The sequence below is a fragment of the Homo sapiens genome, chromosome 10, assembly GCF_000001405.40.
Source record: "Homo sapiens chromosome 10, GRCh38.p14 Primary Assembly".
NCBI classification, from domain to species: domain Eukaryota; kingdom Metazoa; phylum Chordata; class Mammalia; order Primates; family Hominidae; genus Homo; species Homo sapiens.
In genome coordinates, this window is record NC_000010.11 from 15,326,592 (window position 1) to 15,340,069 (window position 13,478).

Sequence of the window (13,478 nt, forward strand, 5' to 3'; positions counted from 1 at the left end):
GTGTGAGCCACCACACCCAGCTAGGTTTCTTACAATTCTTGTTGTTTGTTTTTTAAGATGGAGTCTCACTCTGTTACCCAGGATGGAGTGCAGTGGCATGATCTTGGCTCACTGCAGCCTCTGTCCCCCAGGTTCAAGCGATTCTGCTCCCTCAGCCTCCCAGGTAGCTGGGATTACAGGTGCCTGCCATCATACCCAGCTAATTTTTGTATTTTTAGTAGAGACAGGGTTTTGGCATGTTAGCCAGGCTGGTTTTGAACTCCTGACCTCAAGTGATCCACCCACCCTGGCTTCCTAAAGGGCTGGGATTACAGGCGTGGCCCACGACACTCCGGCTACAATTCTTGTTTTTGTTGGTCAGGAGGACACAGCCACATGTTGTGGTTTTTCATCACCAAAATGTGGCAATGAATGTACACAAATAGCCAACCATCTCTTTCCTCCCTCAAGTACTGATCAAAAATTAATGTGAGCTGTAAGTTTTAGATCAAGCATTCCCTTAAAAAAATTAACCAAGATGAAATCCCTAGGAGGCATGATAGTATGGTGGCCAACAGCTCTGGAGTCAGACTACCTGGGTTCAAATCCAATCCCAGCTCTACCCATTATCAGCTGTGTAAGCTTGAGCAAGAGCAAGCTGCCTACCCCCTAGGCCACTCACCTCATAGATTATTAGGGGAATAAACCAGTCAATGCTGAAAACTGTGCCTGGCATGTGCTCAGCGCTCACTAGATGCTACTGACTATTATTATTTCTATAAGAATGTCACAAATATGACTGGGCACGGTGGCTCACGTCCGTTATCTCAGCACTTTGGGAGGCCAAGGCAGGCAGATCGCTTGAGCCCAGTAGTTCAAGACCAGTGTGGGCAACAGGGTGAAACCCCATCTCTACAAAAAAACATAGAAATTAGCTGGGCGTGCTAGCACGTGCCTATAATCCCAGCTACTCAGGAGGCTGAGGCAGGAGGATCACCTGAGACCAGGAGGTCAAGGCTGCAGTGAGCCGTGATTGCACCACTGCAGTCTAGCCTGGGAGACAAAACAAGACTCTGTCTCTAAATAAATAAATAAATAAGGAATATGATAAATGCCACATGTTCTCACTCATAAATATAAGCTAAACATTGAGAACACATGGACATAAAGAAGGAAATAACAGACACATGGGCCTACTTGAGGGTGCAGGTTGGCAGGAAGGAGAGAATGGAAAAACTATGTATTTGGTACTATGCCTATTACCTGGGTGACAAAATTATCTGCACACTAAACCCTACCACCCCCGTGACACACAATTTACCCATATCACAAACCTGTACATGTATCCCCTGCACCTAAAATAAAAGTAAAAAAAAAAAAAAATCAGAGATTACCTAATTAGTAATCTCGGTCTAAAACTCTCAGTCCGAAAACTTGCCTCAGAACACTGTAGACAGAAATAATGATGTTGCCATTGCTTAAATCCACCAGGTACTTTTGCAGCCTTCAAAAAAACCCAAAAAACAAACCAAAAAAAAAAAAAACCTTTCTAAAGATAAATATTAAATGACTGTTTTTTAAAATTTTTTCCGAGATGGAGTTTCGCTCTTGTCGCCCAGGCTGGAGTGCAATGGTGCGATCTCAGCTCACTGCAACCTCCACCTCCTGGGTTCAAGAGATTCTCCTGCCTCAGCCTCTCCAGTAGCTGGGATCACAGGCGCCCACCACCAAGCCCAGCTAATTTTTTGTATTTTTAGTAGAGACGGGGTTTCACCATGTTGGGAAGGCTGGTCTTGGACTCCTGACGTCAGGTGATCCACCCGCCTCGGCCTCCCAAAGGTGCTGGGATTACAGGCATGAACCACGGCGCCTGGCCTGTTGTTGTTTTAAATCAGGAACTGAGCTATTTTGAACAAGATGCCTTGTAGTTTAACCCTGGATACAGAGCGACGCGGATACCTGGAGAACTGTGGGGGCAATATGCTGTTTCGGTAACTTGCTCTGCTCAGGCAACAGCATTAGCTCAAGCTCGGGTTTTCCTGAGCTGCAGTAGTGCAGGCATCTGGCTGCTTCTACTTGGTTGACATCACTACTCTTCTTTCATCAGCTTCCTTGATTTCCTCACCTATTTTTGGGTCCAATTGTCTAGCCTTGGGGATCTGGCAACCTCATGTTCACACAGCCCAGGCCCTGGCAACCATCCTTACCTCAAGTTTTAGGCCCCACCAAATACAGGTATCCCCAGGGCACCACCAGATTTGGCCAGCCTTCATCCTGCCTCTCACTATCAGTATGGACATCAGAAACCTCGGGTCCCTCATTGGGCTTCTTTTGACAGATATGTCATCCTGGCAAACATGCAAAACAACTCTGTAAAGAGGGAAAGTTACACCAAGAACCTGTGGCTCAGCGGTTAAGTAATCCACTTTCAGTCACGCCGCACATAAACAGCACTGCTGAAGCCACCGGGCAGTGGGTCACTGCTGCTGACACGGTGACAGGTGGGAGGACGCCCTCAGATGTGGTGATGTCGGGAAGAAGGTTGAGAATCAAAATATTAAAGAACTATGTGAACAGCCAAGTACTGCATATTTTTAGTAGATATTCATGTGTATGTTTAAAGGAGGTATACTAACTTGAACTACAAACTGAGAGCTTATAAATAAGAGTGCTGACCAACCAGCCGGATGCAACAGATGTAGGCTGCAGGGAAACCACTGTTGGCCTAGTCACCAATTTCCACTTGTGGTTCTATCGGCTCCAGAGGTGAAATTCAATTCAGAATGAGCTGGGCCACGCCAGGCTTGGTGGCGCACAATTGTAATCCCAGCACTTTGTGAGGCCAAGGCAGGAGGACTGCTTGAGTGCCCAGGAGTTTGAGACCAGCCTGGGTAACATGGTGAAAATTAGCCAGGCACACCTGTGCACATCTGGAGTCCCAGCTACTCAGGAGAATGAGGTAGGAGGATCCCATGAGCCCAGGAAGTTGAAGCTGCAGTGAAACGTGATCATGCCACTGCACTCCAGCCTGGACAGCAGGGCAATACCATCTCACTTAAAAAAAAAAAAAAAAAAGGATGAGCTGACTCAATAAGAACAAGTAACACAGCTTTTCAGGGAATGCTGGGGACAGGGATACATATGGCCCTAAGAAGCTACGGGAAGTCATTTTCAGATCACAAGGGGAGTCTGCCTTAGAATAAAATTGATACCATTTGAGAACTAAGTAGACAGAAAGAAACTGGAACCTTCAGTGACACTGCTAAGCCCTGCCAAGCTTTGTCTCAGGCCCGCACACTACCTTTGGCTTTTTAGTCTCATAAAGCAATGCTCCCTTTACTGTTTAAGCCACTTTTAAGTTGTTTCTGGTAAACTTAAAGAGGACTTTTGTGGAATGCATTTAAGATAAGCACTTTCTTGCATAGTATGGCACTGCAAATCACTGAATATTATAAGTTTAATTCTCCTGGTAAACATTTTCCCTGTGAGGGCTGGGCGTGGTGGCTCACACCTGTAATCCCAGCACTTTGGGAGACTGAGGCAGGTGGATCACTTGAAGTCAGGAGTTCGAGATCAGCCTGGCCTACATAGTGAAACTCCATCTCTACTAAAAATACAAAAATTAGCCTGGCATGGTGGTGCACGCCTGTAATCCCAGCTACTAGGGAAGAAGCAGGAGAATCGCCTGAACCCGGCAGGTGGAGGTTGCAGTGAGCCAAGATTGCACCACTGCACCCCAGCCTGGGCAACAGACCAAGACTTTTTCTGAATTATTTTACCACAGTGTCAAAATCATGATCCTCTCATATTTTTAAAGGTAAACAAATGCATTTCTTTGGGAGTCATGGAATAGGTAAATGCAAGTAGAAGAGAAAAAGCAGATGTGACAGTCAAGGGCAGAGAGATGACAGATACTCAGATTTCATAGATTAGCACAGAACTTCTTTCGGCCTTTATTAATAAGATTGCCCTAATAATAAGTGTTGTGCAACCAATTGAAAGCTGTTCAGTTTATTTCTGACACAAACGTAAATGTTACCCACAGGCAGCCTCTTACTCACCTTTTCTACTATGGCCTAAAAAGCACTCCTGAACACCCAGGCAGTTTTGAAGCCTCTGAAGCATATTTTTTTCTTCTTCTTCTTTTTTTTTTTTTTTTTTTTTTGAGATGGAGCCTCACTCTGTCACCCAGGCTGGAGTGCAGTGGCACAATCTTGGCTCACTGTAACCTCCACCTCCCAGGTTTGAGCAATTCTCCTGCCTCAGCCTCCCGAGTAGCTGGGATTAAAGTCATGTGCCACCACACCTGGCTAATTTTTTATTTTATTTTTTTTTTGAGATGGAGTCCTCACTGCATTGCCCAGGCTGGAGTGTAGTGGCATGATCTCGGCTCACTGCAACCTCTGCCTCCTGGGTTCAAGCAATTCTCCTGCCTCAGTCTCCCAAGTAGCTGGGATTACAGGCGCACGCCACCACGCCTGGCTAATTTTTGTATTTTTGGTAGAAACAGGGTTTCACTATGTTGGCCAGGCTGGTCTCAAACTCCTGACCTCAAGTGATCCACTGCCTTGGCCTCCCAAAGCGCTGGGATTACAGGTGTGAGCCACCGCACCCGGCCTACAGCATGTTTTCACACACATGCATGCATATATGACTCCCCTGAAACCTAGCAACATCCCTGTGGAGGGGAGGCGTCACCAGGCAACTGCAAACGAAGAAGCTGCGGCCTAGAAAAGTTGAATACTTTCCTCAAAGTCACAGGACTCAAAAGTTAGAGGAGTCAGAAGTTGGAAGACCCCGGTCTTCTAACTGAATTTCAAAAGACGTTTTACCATACTACCTGGCCTCTCCTGGACAGTTCTGGAAGTATCTCCCACCTATGAACACAGATGGGCACAGCAGGCTTGTGCTGGACACCAAAGGCGTGTTTCTGAGACCTTATACAAGGGCAGAAGATTGAGAAACAGGCATTCTGGACAATCTAAAAAATGTAACCACCAATATCAGAACATTAAAACTTAGCTCTAGAAATACTCTTTCATCATACTCCTGGTTCCAGCAGCCACTCCTTATCCCTGAGGGTCCAAAGCTTTAGGGAGTGCCTGGAATACTGCACACCCAAAAGACAAACACAGGCCAATTACAGGACTGATGTTTTATATATATGTGTGTGTGTGTGTGTATGTATATATATATGTGGGTATATATATGTATAGATGTGTGTGTGTATATATGTATATATGTGGGTATATATATGTGTGTATATATATGTGTGTATATATATGTGTGTATATATATGTGTGTGTATACATATATATATATATATGAAACAATTAAGATTCAAGACCTGAGGTATTATCTAGAGCACCTGAAATTTAGGCCTTGCATTTCGTTTTTTAGACAGAGTCTTGCTCTGTTACCCAGGCTGGAGTGCAATGGCGCGATCTTGGCTCACTGCAACCTCTGCCTCCCAGGTTCAGGCAATTCTCGTGCCTCAGCCTCCCAGGTAGTAGCTGGGATTACAGGTGGGCACCACCATGCCCAGCTAATTTTTTGTATTTTTAGTAGAGATGGGGTTTTGCAACATGTTGCCCAGGTTGGTCTCGAACTCCTGAACTCAGACAATCTGCCTGCCTCTGCCTCCCAGAGTGCTAGGATTACAGGAGTGAGCCACCACGCCAGGCCAGGACTTGCATTTTAAAGCACTTGTATTTTATGCTCACCTTTTAAGCAACATTAACCAAGAAGCAATCCAGTATTTTCCTTTCTAGAACATGAGACGGAACATTTGGTTTACTTGGACTTTGAGAAATGCCCAATGGTTCTGTTTTATTTTTTTAAGCCAGTGACTTTCTATACTTCTCAATGCTGCATGGGCACCAACAGTATGGGGGCTACATTCTTCCATAAAGGGACAGGTTCTGGGGCGCTGCTTGGCAATGCTTTCTCTTGTCATATCCATCAATGCTTTTCCAATCAATACATGGAAGCAACGATAGAAATAAAAGGCCTTCATATGATAGAGTTTGCCAACCTGTAATGATGAGTGTCATGAATTTATGCATACATGTAGCATTTCTCTTAGAAAGCAGGTTGCAGAGACTCATTGCACTGACTACAGTGGGCCTCAGGCAATGCAACTGTTCTGTTCCATTACCTACAGTGATCTCCCTTTTTTCTCTCATCCAGATCCTCTTCCAGAATTGAACTGAGAAATGGGTATTCTATGAGGAAAGCATTTCAGTGAATCTGTCTGAGAATGGCGAGGAAGGAAGAGCTCGGAATCCCTGGGCAATCTAATGGTATTTATGATAATGAAGAGTGAATATAATCTATTAAAGGGTGTTCAAGCAAAGCGATGTCATTCCCCCAGACATCCTCAACACAGAGCCCACCAGAGAGCCTGCACACCAAATACCTCCTATAGTGCAACTCTTCCCTTTACCATCACCAGCCCCATCAACCCCATGAGACAGGAGGAATGGCTTGCCCTTTAAACCTCCTCCTGGAAGTCCACAGCTACTCTCCTTACAGTCCTGAGACCCCATTCTCAGCTCCCTTCAGAGTCCACTCAACATTTTCCTTCTGGGCTTCTAGCGTTTGGGTCCTGGGAACTGGGGCTGCTTTAAAAACTCTTTCTGGGCTGGGTGCTGTGGCTCACGCCTGTAATCCCAGTACTTTGGGAGGCCGAGGCGGGTGGATCACCTGAGGTCAGGAGTTCGAGACCAGCCTGACCAATATGGTGATGGTGAAACCCCATCTCTACTAAAAATGCAAAAATTAGCTGGGCGTGGTGGCGTGTGCCTGTAATCCCAGTTACCTGGGAGGCTAGGACAGGAGAATTGCCTGAACCCAGGAGGCGGAGGGTGCAGTGAGCTGAGATCACGCCATTGCACTCCAGCCTGGGTGACAGAGTGAGATTCCATCTCAAAAAACAAACAAATAGACAACCAATCAACCAAAAACAACTCTTTCTGGCTGGACATGGTGGCTCACACCTGTAATCCCAGCACTTTGGGAGGCTGAGTCGGGAGGTTGCTTGAGGCCAGGAGTTCAAGACCAGCCTGGCCAACATAATGAGACCCCCAACTTTACAAAAAAATCTAAAAAATATAGCTGGGTGTGGTGGCATAGGCCTGTCATCAGTCCCAGCTACTCAGGGGACTGTCATGGGAAGATTGCTTGAGGCTGGGAGGCAGAGGTTGCAGTGTAGTGATTGTGCCACTGCACTCTAGCCTGGGTGACAGAGTGAGACCGTGTCTCAAAGAGAAAAAAAGAAAAGAATACTAAAAAAAAAAACTATTTCCATTGGCTCCTCCACCTATACTGGCCGTCTTTTCCCTGCTCCTTTTGGGGTCGTTTCAGAGCTCATGGTCTCAATATCAGCCTTCCTTCCAGAATCACTAGGCCAGGCTTTCACTGTTACCTCCTGAATCTCCAAAGCCCCTTCCCTTGGGGAGTGCCTCCTCCCAGATCCACAGCGCCTGACTCTCCAGCGTATTCCCAGCCCTAAACATGGACATGCAAATGAACTCGCCCAGATGTCATGGCTTCATTATTCTGGCCTAAGACTAGGACTTCTCTTTACATATCCCCTTGAGGAGTGATTTAACTGCCATTACCCTTTTCTCTAGCCCCCATTCCCCTTTCAAATGAGAAATAGAAAAACAGAAAACATCCTCTAACCTTGGGTTTTTGACCTTGGCTCTGGGATGAAAGAGGAGATACCATCATCTCCTTGCATGCCATTTACTGGCTGGGAAATACTCCAGCATCACTGCTGCTCTGGGAATCAGGAGATCTGAGGGTAAATGATTTACAAAAACTTCAATGAATGAAACATTTGGTGGTTAACCGCTAAAGTTATTAACCTTACTTTTGTTTATAATCTGCAGGAATGGTTAACTAAAATTAACCCAACTCAACATGTGCTTGCAGAACATTCACGCTATATTGAAAGAAGCCAAACAAAAGAAAGATTTCCAATCCTCAACATGGGTTTCCCAAACTGCCTTCATAGGACATCAATAGCTCCTAGAGCAGGGGGAAAGGGTGTACAAACACATCTGAGGGACCCTGAGTTAAACAAAGATCCTTTTCTTGGAGGTGGCACCTCTCAGAGATTTCAATACACCGATGGGAACTGTGAAACCCCAGATCTTCTAAGGCAGGTTCAAAGCTGTTTCTACTATACTATCTTGAGTCTCCAAAATGGTTTGGAATGTACTGCCTGCCACTGGAGACAGTAGCTGAATACACTTTATGCTACAGAAATGTTTCTTGAAGGTTGTATGAGTTCAGAACATGCAGTTCATGAGCGTGGCTTCCCAAAGTGCCTTCCAAGTTGCAACAGAAATTCTACAAAATCCCGATTCAAGATACACATAAAGGCCCAGTGCAGTGGCTCACGCCTGCAATCCTAGCACTTTGGGAGGCCAAAGTGGGCAGATCACTTGGGTCCAGGAGTTTGAGACCAGCCTGGGCAACAGGGTGAAACCCCATCTCTACAAAATATACAAAAATCAGCCATGCATGGTGGCGCTTACCTATGTAGTCTCAGCTACTTGGGAGGCTGAGGCAGGAGGATTGCTTGAGCCCAGGAGGTGGAATTTGCAGTGAGCAGAGATCATGCCACTGCATTCCAGCCTGGGCGACAGAGTGAGACCCTGTCTCAAACAAAACAAAACAAACGACAAACAAACAAACAAACCCAAAAAAATTCACAAAAACAGATTTAAACACTGTGATAAGAAGTCAACACACACACTCAAACAAGTTACCTCATTTTAACAGTGTTCTCATTACTTTGTAAGAAGAAATATAATTTAATAAACTTACATGAACAAATGCTGCTTTCAAAAATCTGTTTAATAAGTGTGCACAAAAGAAAAGGTTTTCTGGTATTAAATAACCACAATCCGAAACTGCCTTATCAGGATTTTCAAATAGAAGAAAAACAAAACATGGGCCAAGGGAGATTATTAAATTTTAAACAGCAATGAAACATTTTACAAATAGTGTGCTTCTATTTAGCAATAATGTCGAGATTTGACAAATAAAGATGCTGAACTTGTTTGATTCACAGCCTGAAAGTGACAGGGGACTTTCAGCCTTCTTCATTTTCAGGCTAGACTCCAGAACACATTCTTTGTGCGTTAGGTTCACTTTTCAGCAGAGGCAAACAGTGTGTACAATCACACTTTATCTTTGTTTCCATGAAAATGGAGTAAAAATGTGTGTATACTGATGCCCTGCTTTTTTTCTAATACAGATTAAAAAGGGAAAGAGGAAGTAGGAATACATCCTTAAGATTGATAATAAAGATGAGGCTCATTTTTATCTTCTACCTAGAGTCAAGTTTCTGACTTGTCTAAGCTTTCATTATTTACCTTGCAAAGAATTCTTTTAATCCCTGCAAGTGACCTCAGATTTTTTTTTAACCCAATAATCAGGAACTTAATACAGCATGTGGTGTCAGAGGTCCTTATGAGTGACAACTGTGAAATGTTTGATTTATACACAAGTCAACAATGTTGTATTCTGAGAGAGAAGAGAATAATAATGAAAAAGATGTTCCTCAGAGCATGGTACCCTCAGAAATAGAGTTTAGGGACAGAGAAACCTAGAGTCATACCAGGATGGAAAGCCACCATCTGTATGGCATCTGCCACCCCCAGGTTGATGGGGCTTGTGGTATTATGCACACGTTCCTCCTAAGGCATAACTGGGCTGAAAAAGACCCAGATTTTTTTTTTTTTAAAAGGACCAAATAGGGCAGTTTTATCATATACAATATATTTGCCCTCTACATGTGAAATGGAAAAAGCTGTGATGTCATACTCTAAAACCAGTGGTTGTCAACATACGGGGCTGTGGTGTTTGTAAGAGCACAAAACCACACACAGTAACATTTTCTCGGGGCTGCAAAAATCTGTGTCCCATGTACTTTTTCAATTTTAAGATGTAACTTTTCTATTTCATATTAATATTTCTGAAATGGGGATATGTTTTATAATCCACACGGACTTATGATGTGGTTGTGTCTGGCCAGAAATGCTTCCTTAGAACCAAGGAAATACTGTACATGCCAACTATTATTTTCAGTTCCATGGAAATATGGTTTTAGTTAATAAAATGTCAATTAAGTGTAAAGTATTAGTACACTGACAGAACTAACATGTTTTCTCACAGAACTAACATAAGAGACTTCCCTCCCCAAGGATACAATGATTGCAGTGACTAAATGAATATGGGGCCACCTACAACTGTTTTGATAATAAGTTCTTAAACTCAAGGACTCAGGATCACTGTGTACCATGAATTTTCTTTCTTTCTTTTTTTTTTGAGACAGGCTCTTGCCCTGCTGCCCGGCTGAGTACAGTGGTGTGATCACAACTTACTGCAGCCTCGATCTCTTGGGCTCAAGTGATCCTCCCACCTCAGCCTCCCAAGTAGCTAGGACTACAGTTGGCTATTTTTTTTTTTTTTTTGGTAGAGGTGGTATCTCACTATGTTGCCCAGAATGGCCTTGAACTCCTGGACACAAGCAATCCTCCTGCCGTGGCCTCCCAAAGTGTCAGGATTACATGTGTGAGCCACCGAACCTGGCTGCTATCACCTTTATACAAAATAATTCAGGTCTGTGTTTCAAAGAGCCAGAGTTGGAACAATTAGAGGATAAATCCCTAAAAAAGAAATATATGCAAATGGTCTTTGATCTATACTTTAATATTAGAACCTGAAATTGTCCTGGTATTCCTAAATTATAGTTCATTTCATCTTTTTGGTGGCTTAAGCTGAAAAGATAGAAAGAGTATCTTTAGTTTCAATACATCAAAGGCCGTTGGAAATAGGGGGCAAAACCAGCACTTTAATAAGCAGTAGGGGCCGGGTGCGGTGGCTCCCGCCTGTAATCCCAGCACTTTAATAAGCAGTAGGGGCCGGGTGCCGTGACTCACGCCTGTAATCCCAGCACTTTAATAAGCAGTAGGGGCCGGGTGTGGTGGCTCACACGTGTAATCCCAGCGCTTTAATAAGCAGTAGGGGCTGGGCGCGGTGGCTCACGCCTGCAATCCCAGCGCTTTAATAAGCAGTAGGGGTTGGCGCGGTGGCTTACGCCTGCAATCCCAGCACTTTGAGAGGCAGAGGCGAGCGGATCACTTGAGATCGGGAATTTGAGAACAGCCTGGCCAACGCGGTAAAACCCCGACTCTACTAAAAAAATACAAAAGTTAGCTGGGCGTGGTGGTGCATGCCTGTAGTCCCAGCTACTAGGGAGGCTGAGGCAGGAGAATCACTTGAACCTGGGAGGCAGAGGCTGCAGTGAGCCAAGATCGTGCCACTGTACTCCAGCCTGGGTGACAGAGCGAGACTCCATCTTAAAAAAAACAAAAAAAACCCTTTATCAAGACTGTTATGGCTCAATAATCACAGTGCCAAATAAATAAATTCCTATTTAAAAAACAAAGAATTCTTCTTAGCAAGCATACTACAAATGGCCCAATTAAACGCCTTTCACTTTGGAAACCTGAGGTCTGATCCAGACAAGGATGATCTGCTCAAAGTTTTAGAGCTACAGAAACAAAGTTTTCACCAGGATTTTACATATTCAAACATAAATTTAGTACAGGGGAAATTTAATAGTTCTATAATCTTAACACTGGTGTCTCTCAAAACACTAGCAGAATTTAATCTTGTTCTAAATCAAACCGGGAAGAGTTGAGAAAAGTCACTTATTTGTATGCTCTTTCCCAACAGTATAAAAATAAACAATATACATTATGTGCCTATCAAACTAAAAAATGAATACCAATTAATAAAGGAAACAGCAATTAGCAAAGTCATTAGTTTACATTCCTTCTTTTGCTTCTGCAGTTGTGGCTAATGATTTGTTTTGACAACTTTTACCTGTATTTTACTTAATGCTGATAAATAAATTCATGATACAGACCTAGTATTTTATATCAATTTTACCTGAAATAAAAGGAGACCCAGGACATTTGTGAGGAATATAGTCTCATAGTATTAAGAGACCCAAAATTCAATCCTATTAAACTTGTATTTTTAGCTAACAAGCAACACATTTAAAACCTCTTCATTTCCACCCCAGCACCGACAGTTAGCTTTCTTCTTGGGATTTTTTTGTTTGTGTGTAGTGATGTCTCTGCAATGGGATATTTTATTTTATTTTTTGAGACAGTCTCTCTGTCACCCAGGCTGGAATGCAGTAGCGTGATCTTGGCATCCTGCAACCTCCACCTCCCAGGTTCAAGTGATTCTCCTGCCTCAGCCTCCCAAGTAGCTGGGATCACAGGCATGCGCCACCACGCCTAGCTAATTTTTTGTTTTTAGTACTCTGGGGTTTCGCCATGTTGGCCAGGCTGGTCTTGAACTCCTGACCTCAAGTGATCCACCCGCCTTGGCCTCCCGAAGTGTTGGGATTATAGGCATGAGCCACCGCACCCAGCCCTGGATTACAGTTTTGAGGGCAGCTGCTAAGGTTAAGTTTTTTAAGCTCGTAAATGACTCAATTTTAAAATATCCACACCTGGCAGATATTTTATTTTTTAATAAACTTTCAAATATAGAATAATTTTTGATTTACAAAAAAACTGCAGAGACAACACTGAGAATTCCTATGTATCTCTCACCCAGTTTCTGGTTATTAATATTAGTTGCAATTAGTGAACCAATATGGATGTATTATTATTAACTCGAGCTATACTTCATTCAGATTTCCTTAGCTTTTTTCCCCTAATTTTCATTTTCTGTTCCAGGGTCCTTTCTGAGTACCGCATCACATTTAGTCATTACAGCGCCTTAGCTCCTCTTGGCTATGACAGTTTCTCAGACTGTCCTTGCTTTTGATGACCATGGTAGTCCTGAAGAGCGCTGCTCAGGTAGTTTGCAGGATTCCCTCAATGTGGGCCTTTTTCTGATGTTTTGTTTATGATTTGACATCATGACAGAATGGAAGACCATGGCAGTGAAGTGTCATTCTCATGACATCATATCTAGGGTCCTACTATCCACAGTATTCACTGCTGCTGCTCTTGAGCTTGATCATCTGGCTGGGGCAGTGTTCATCAGGCTTAGTTACTCCTCCTACACCCAACCCCTTTCCCTTCCCACCTTTGTCAGGAAGGCTACACTTAATGGGGGAAGACTTATGCTCCCTGTATTCGTCTGCCTTCACGCTGCTGATAAAGACATACCCGAGACTGGGTAATTTATAAAGAAAAAGAGGCTTAATGGACTCACAGTTCCGTGTGGCTCGGGAGGCCTCACAATCATAGCAGAAGATGAAAGTCACGTCTTACATGGTGGCAGACAAGAGAGAATGAGAGCTGAGCAAAAGGGGTTTCTCCTTATAAAACCATCAGATCTCGTGAGACTTATGCACTATCATGAGAACAGCATGGGGGAAAAGCCCCCATCATTCAATTATCTCCCACTGGGTCCCTCCCACAACATGTGGGAATTATGGAAGCTACAATTCA

At 43.8% G+C, this 13,478-nt stretch overlaps 1 protein-coding gene across 3 annotated transcripts in view; it reads right to left on the reverse strand.

The window, feature by feature from the left end:
- The window catches only part of FAM171A1 (family with sequence similarity 171 member A1), a 162,912-nt gene that overhangs the window by 114,949 nt on the left and 34,485 nt on the right, over positions 1-13,478 (reverse strand). The window contains exon 1 of one of the 3 annotated variants that reach the window (XM_011519378.3): positions 7,666-8,432. The exons of the other annotated variants lie outside the window; for them this stretch is intronic. Within the exon in view, the coding sequence (XP_011517680.1) occupies positions 7,666-7,723 (58 nt within the window). The 5' untranslated portion in view covers positions 7,724-8,432. Of the gene's footprint in view, positions 1-7,665; positions 8,433-13,478 lie in introns of those variants that run through there. 3 annotated transcript variants of the gene reach the window in all.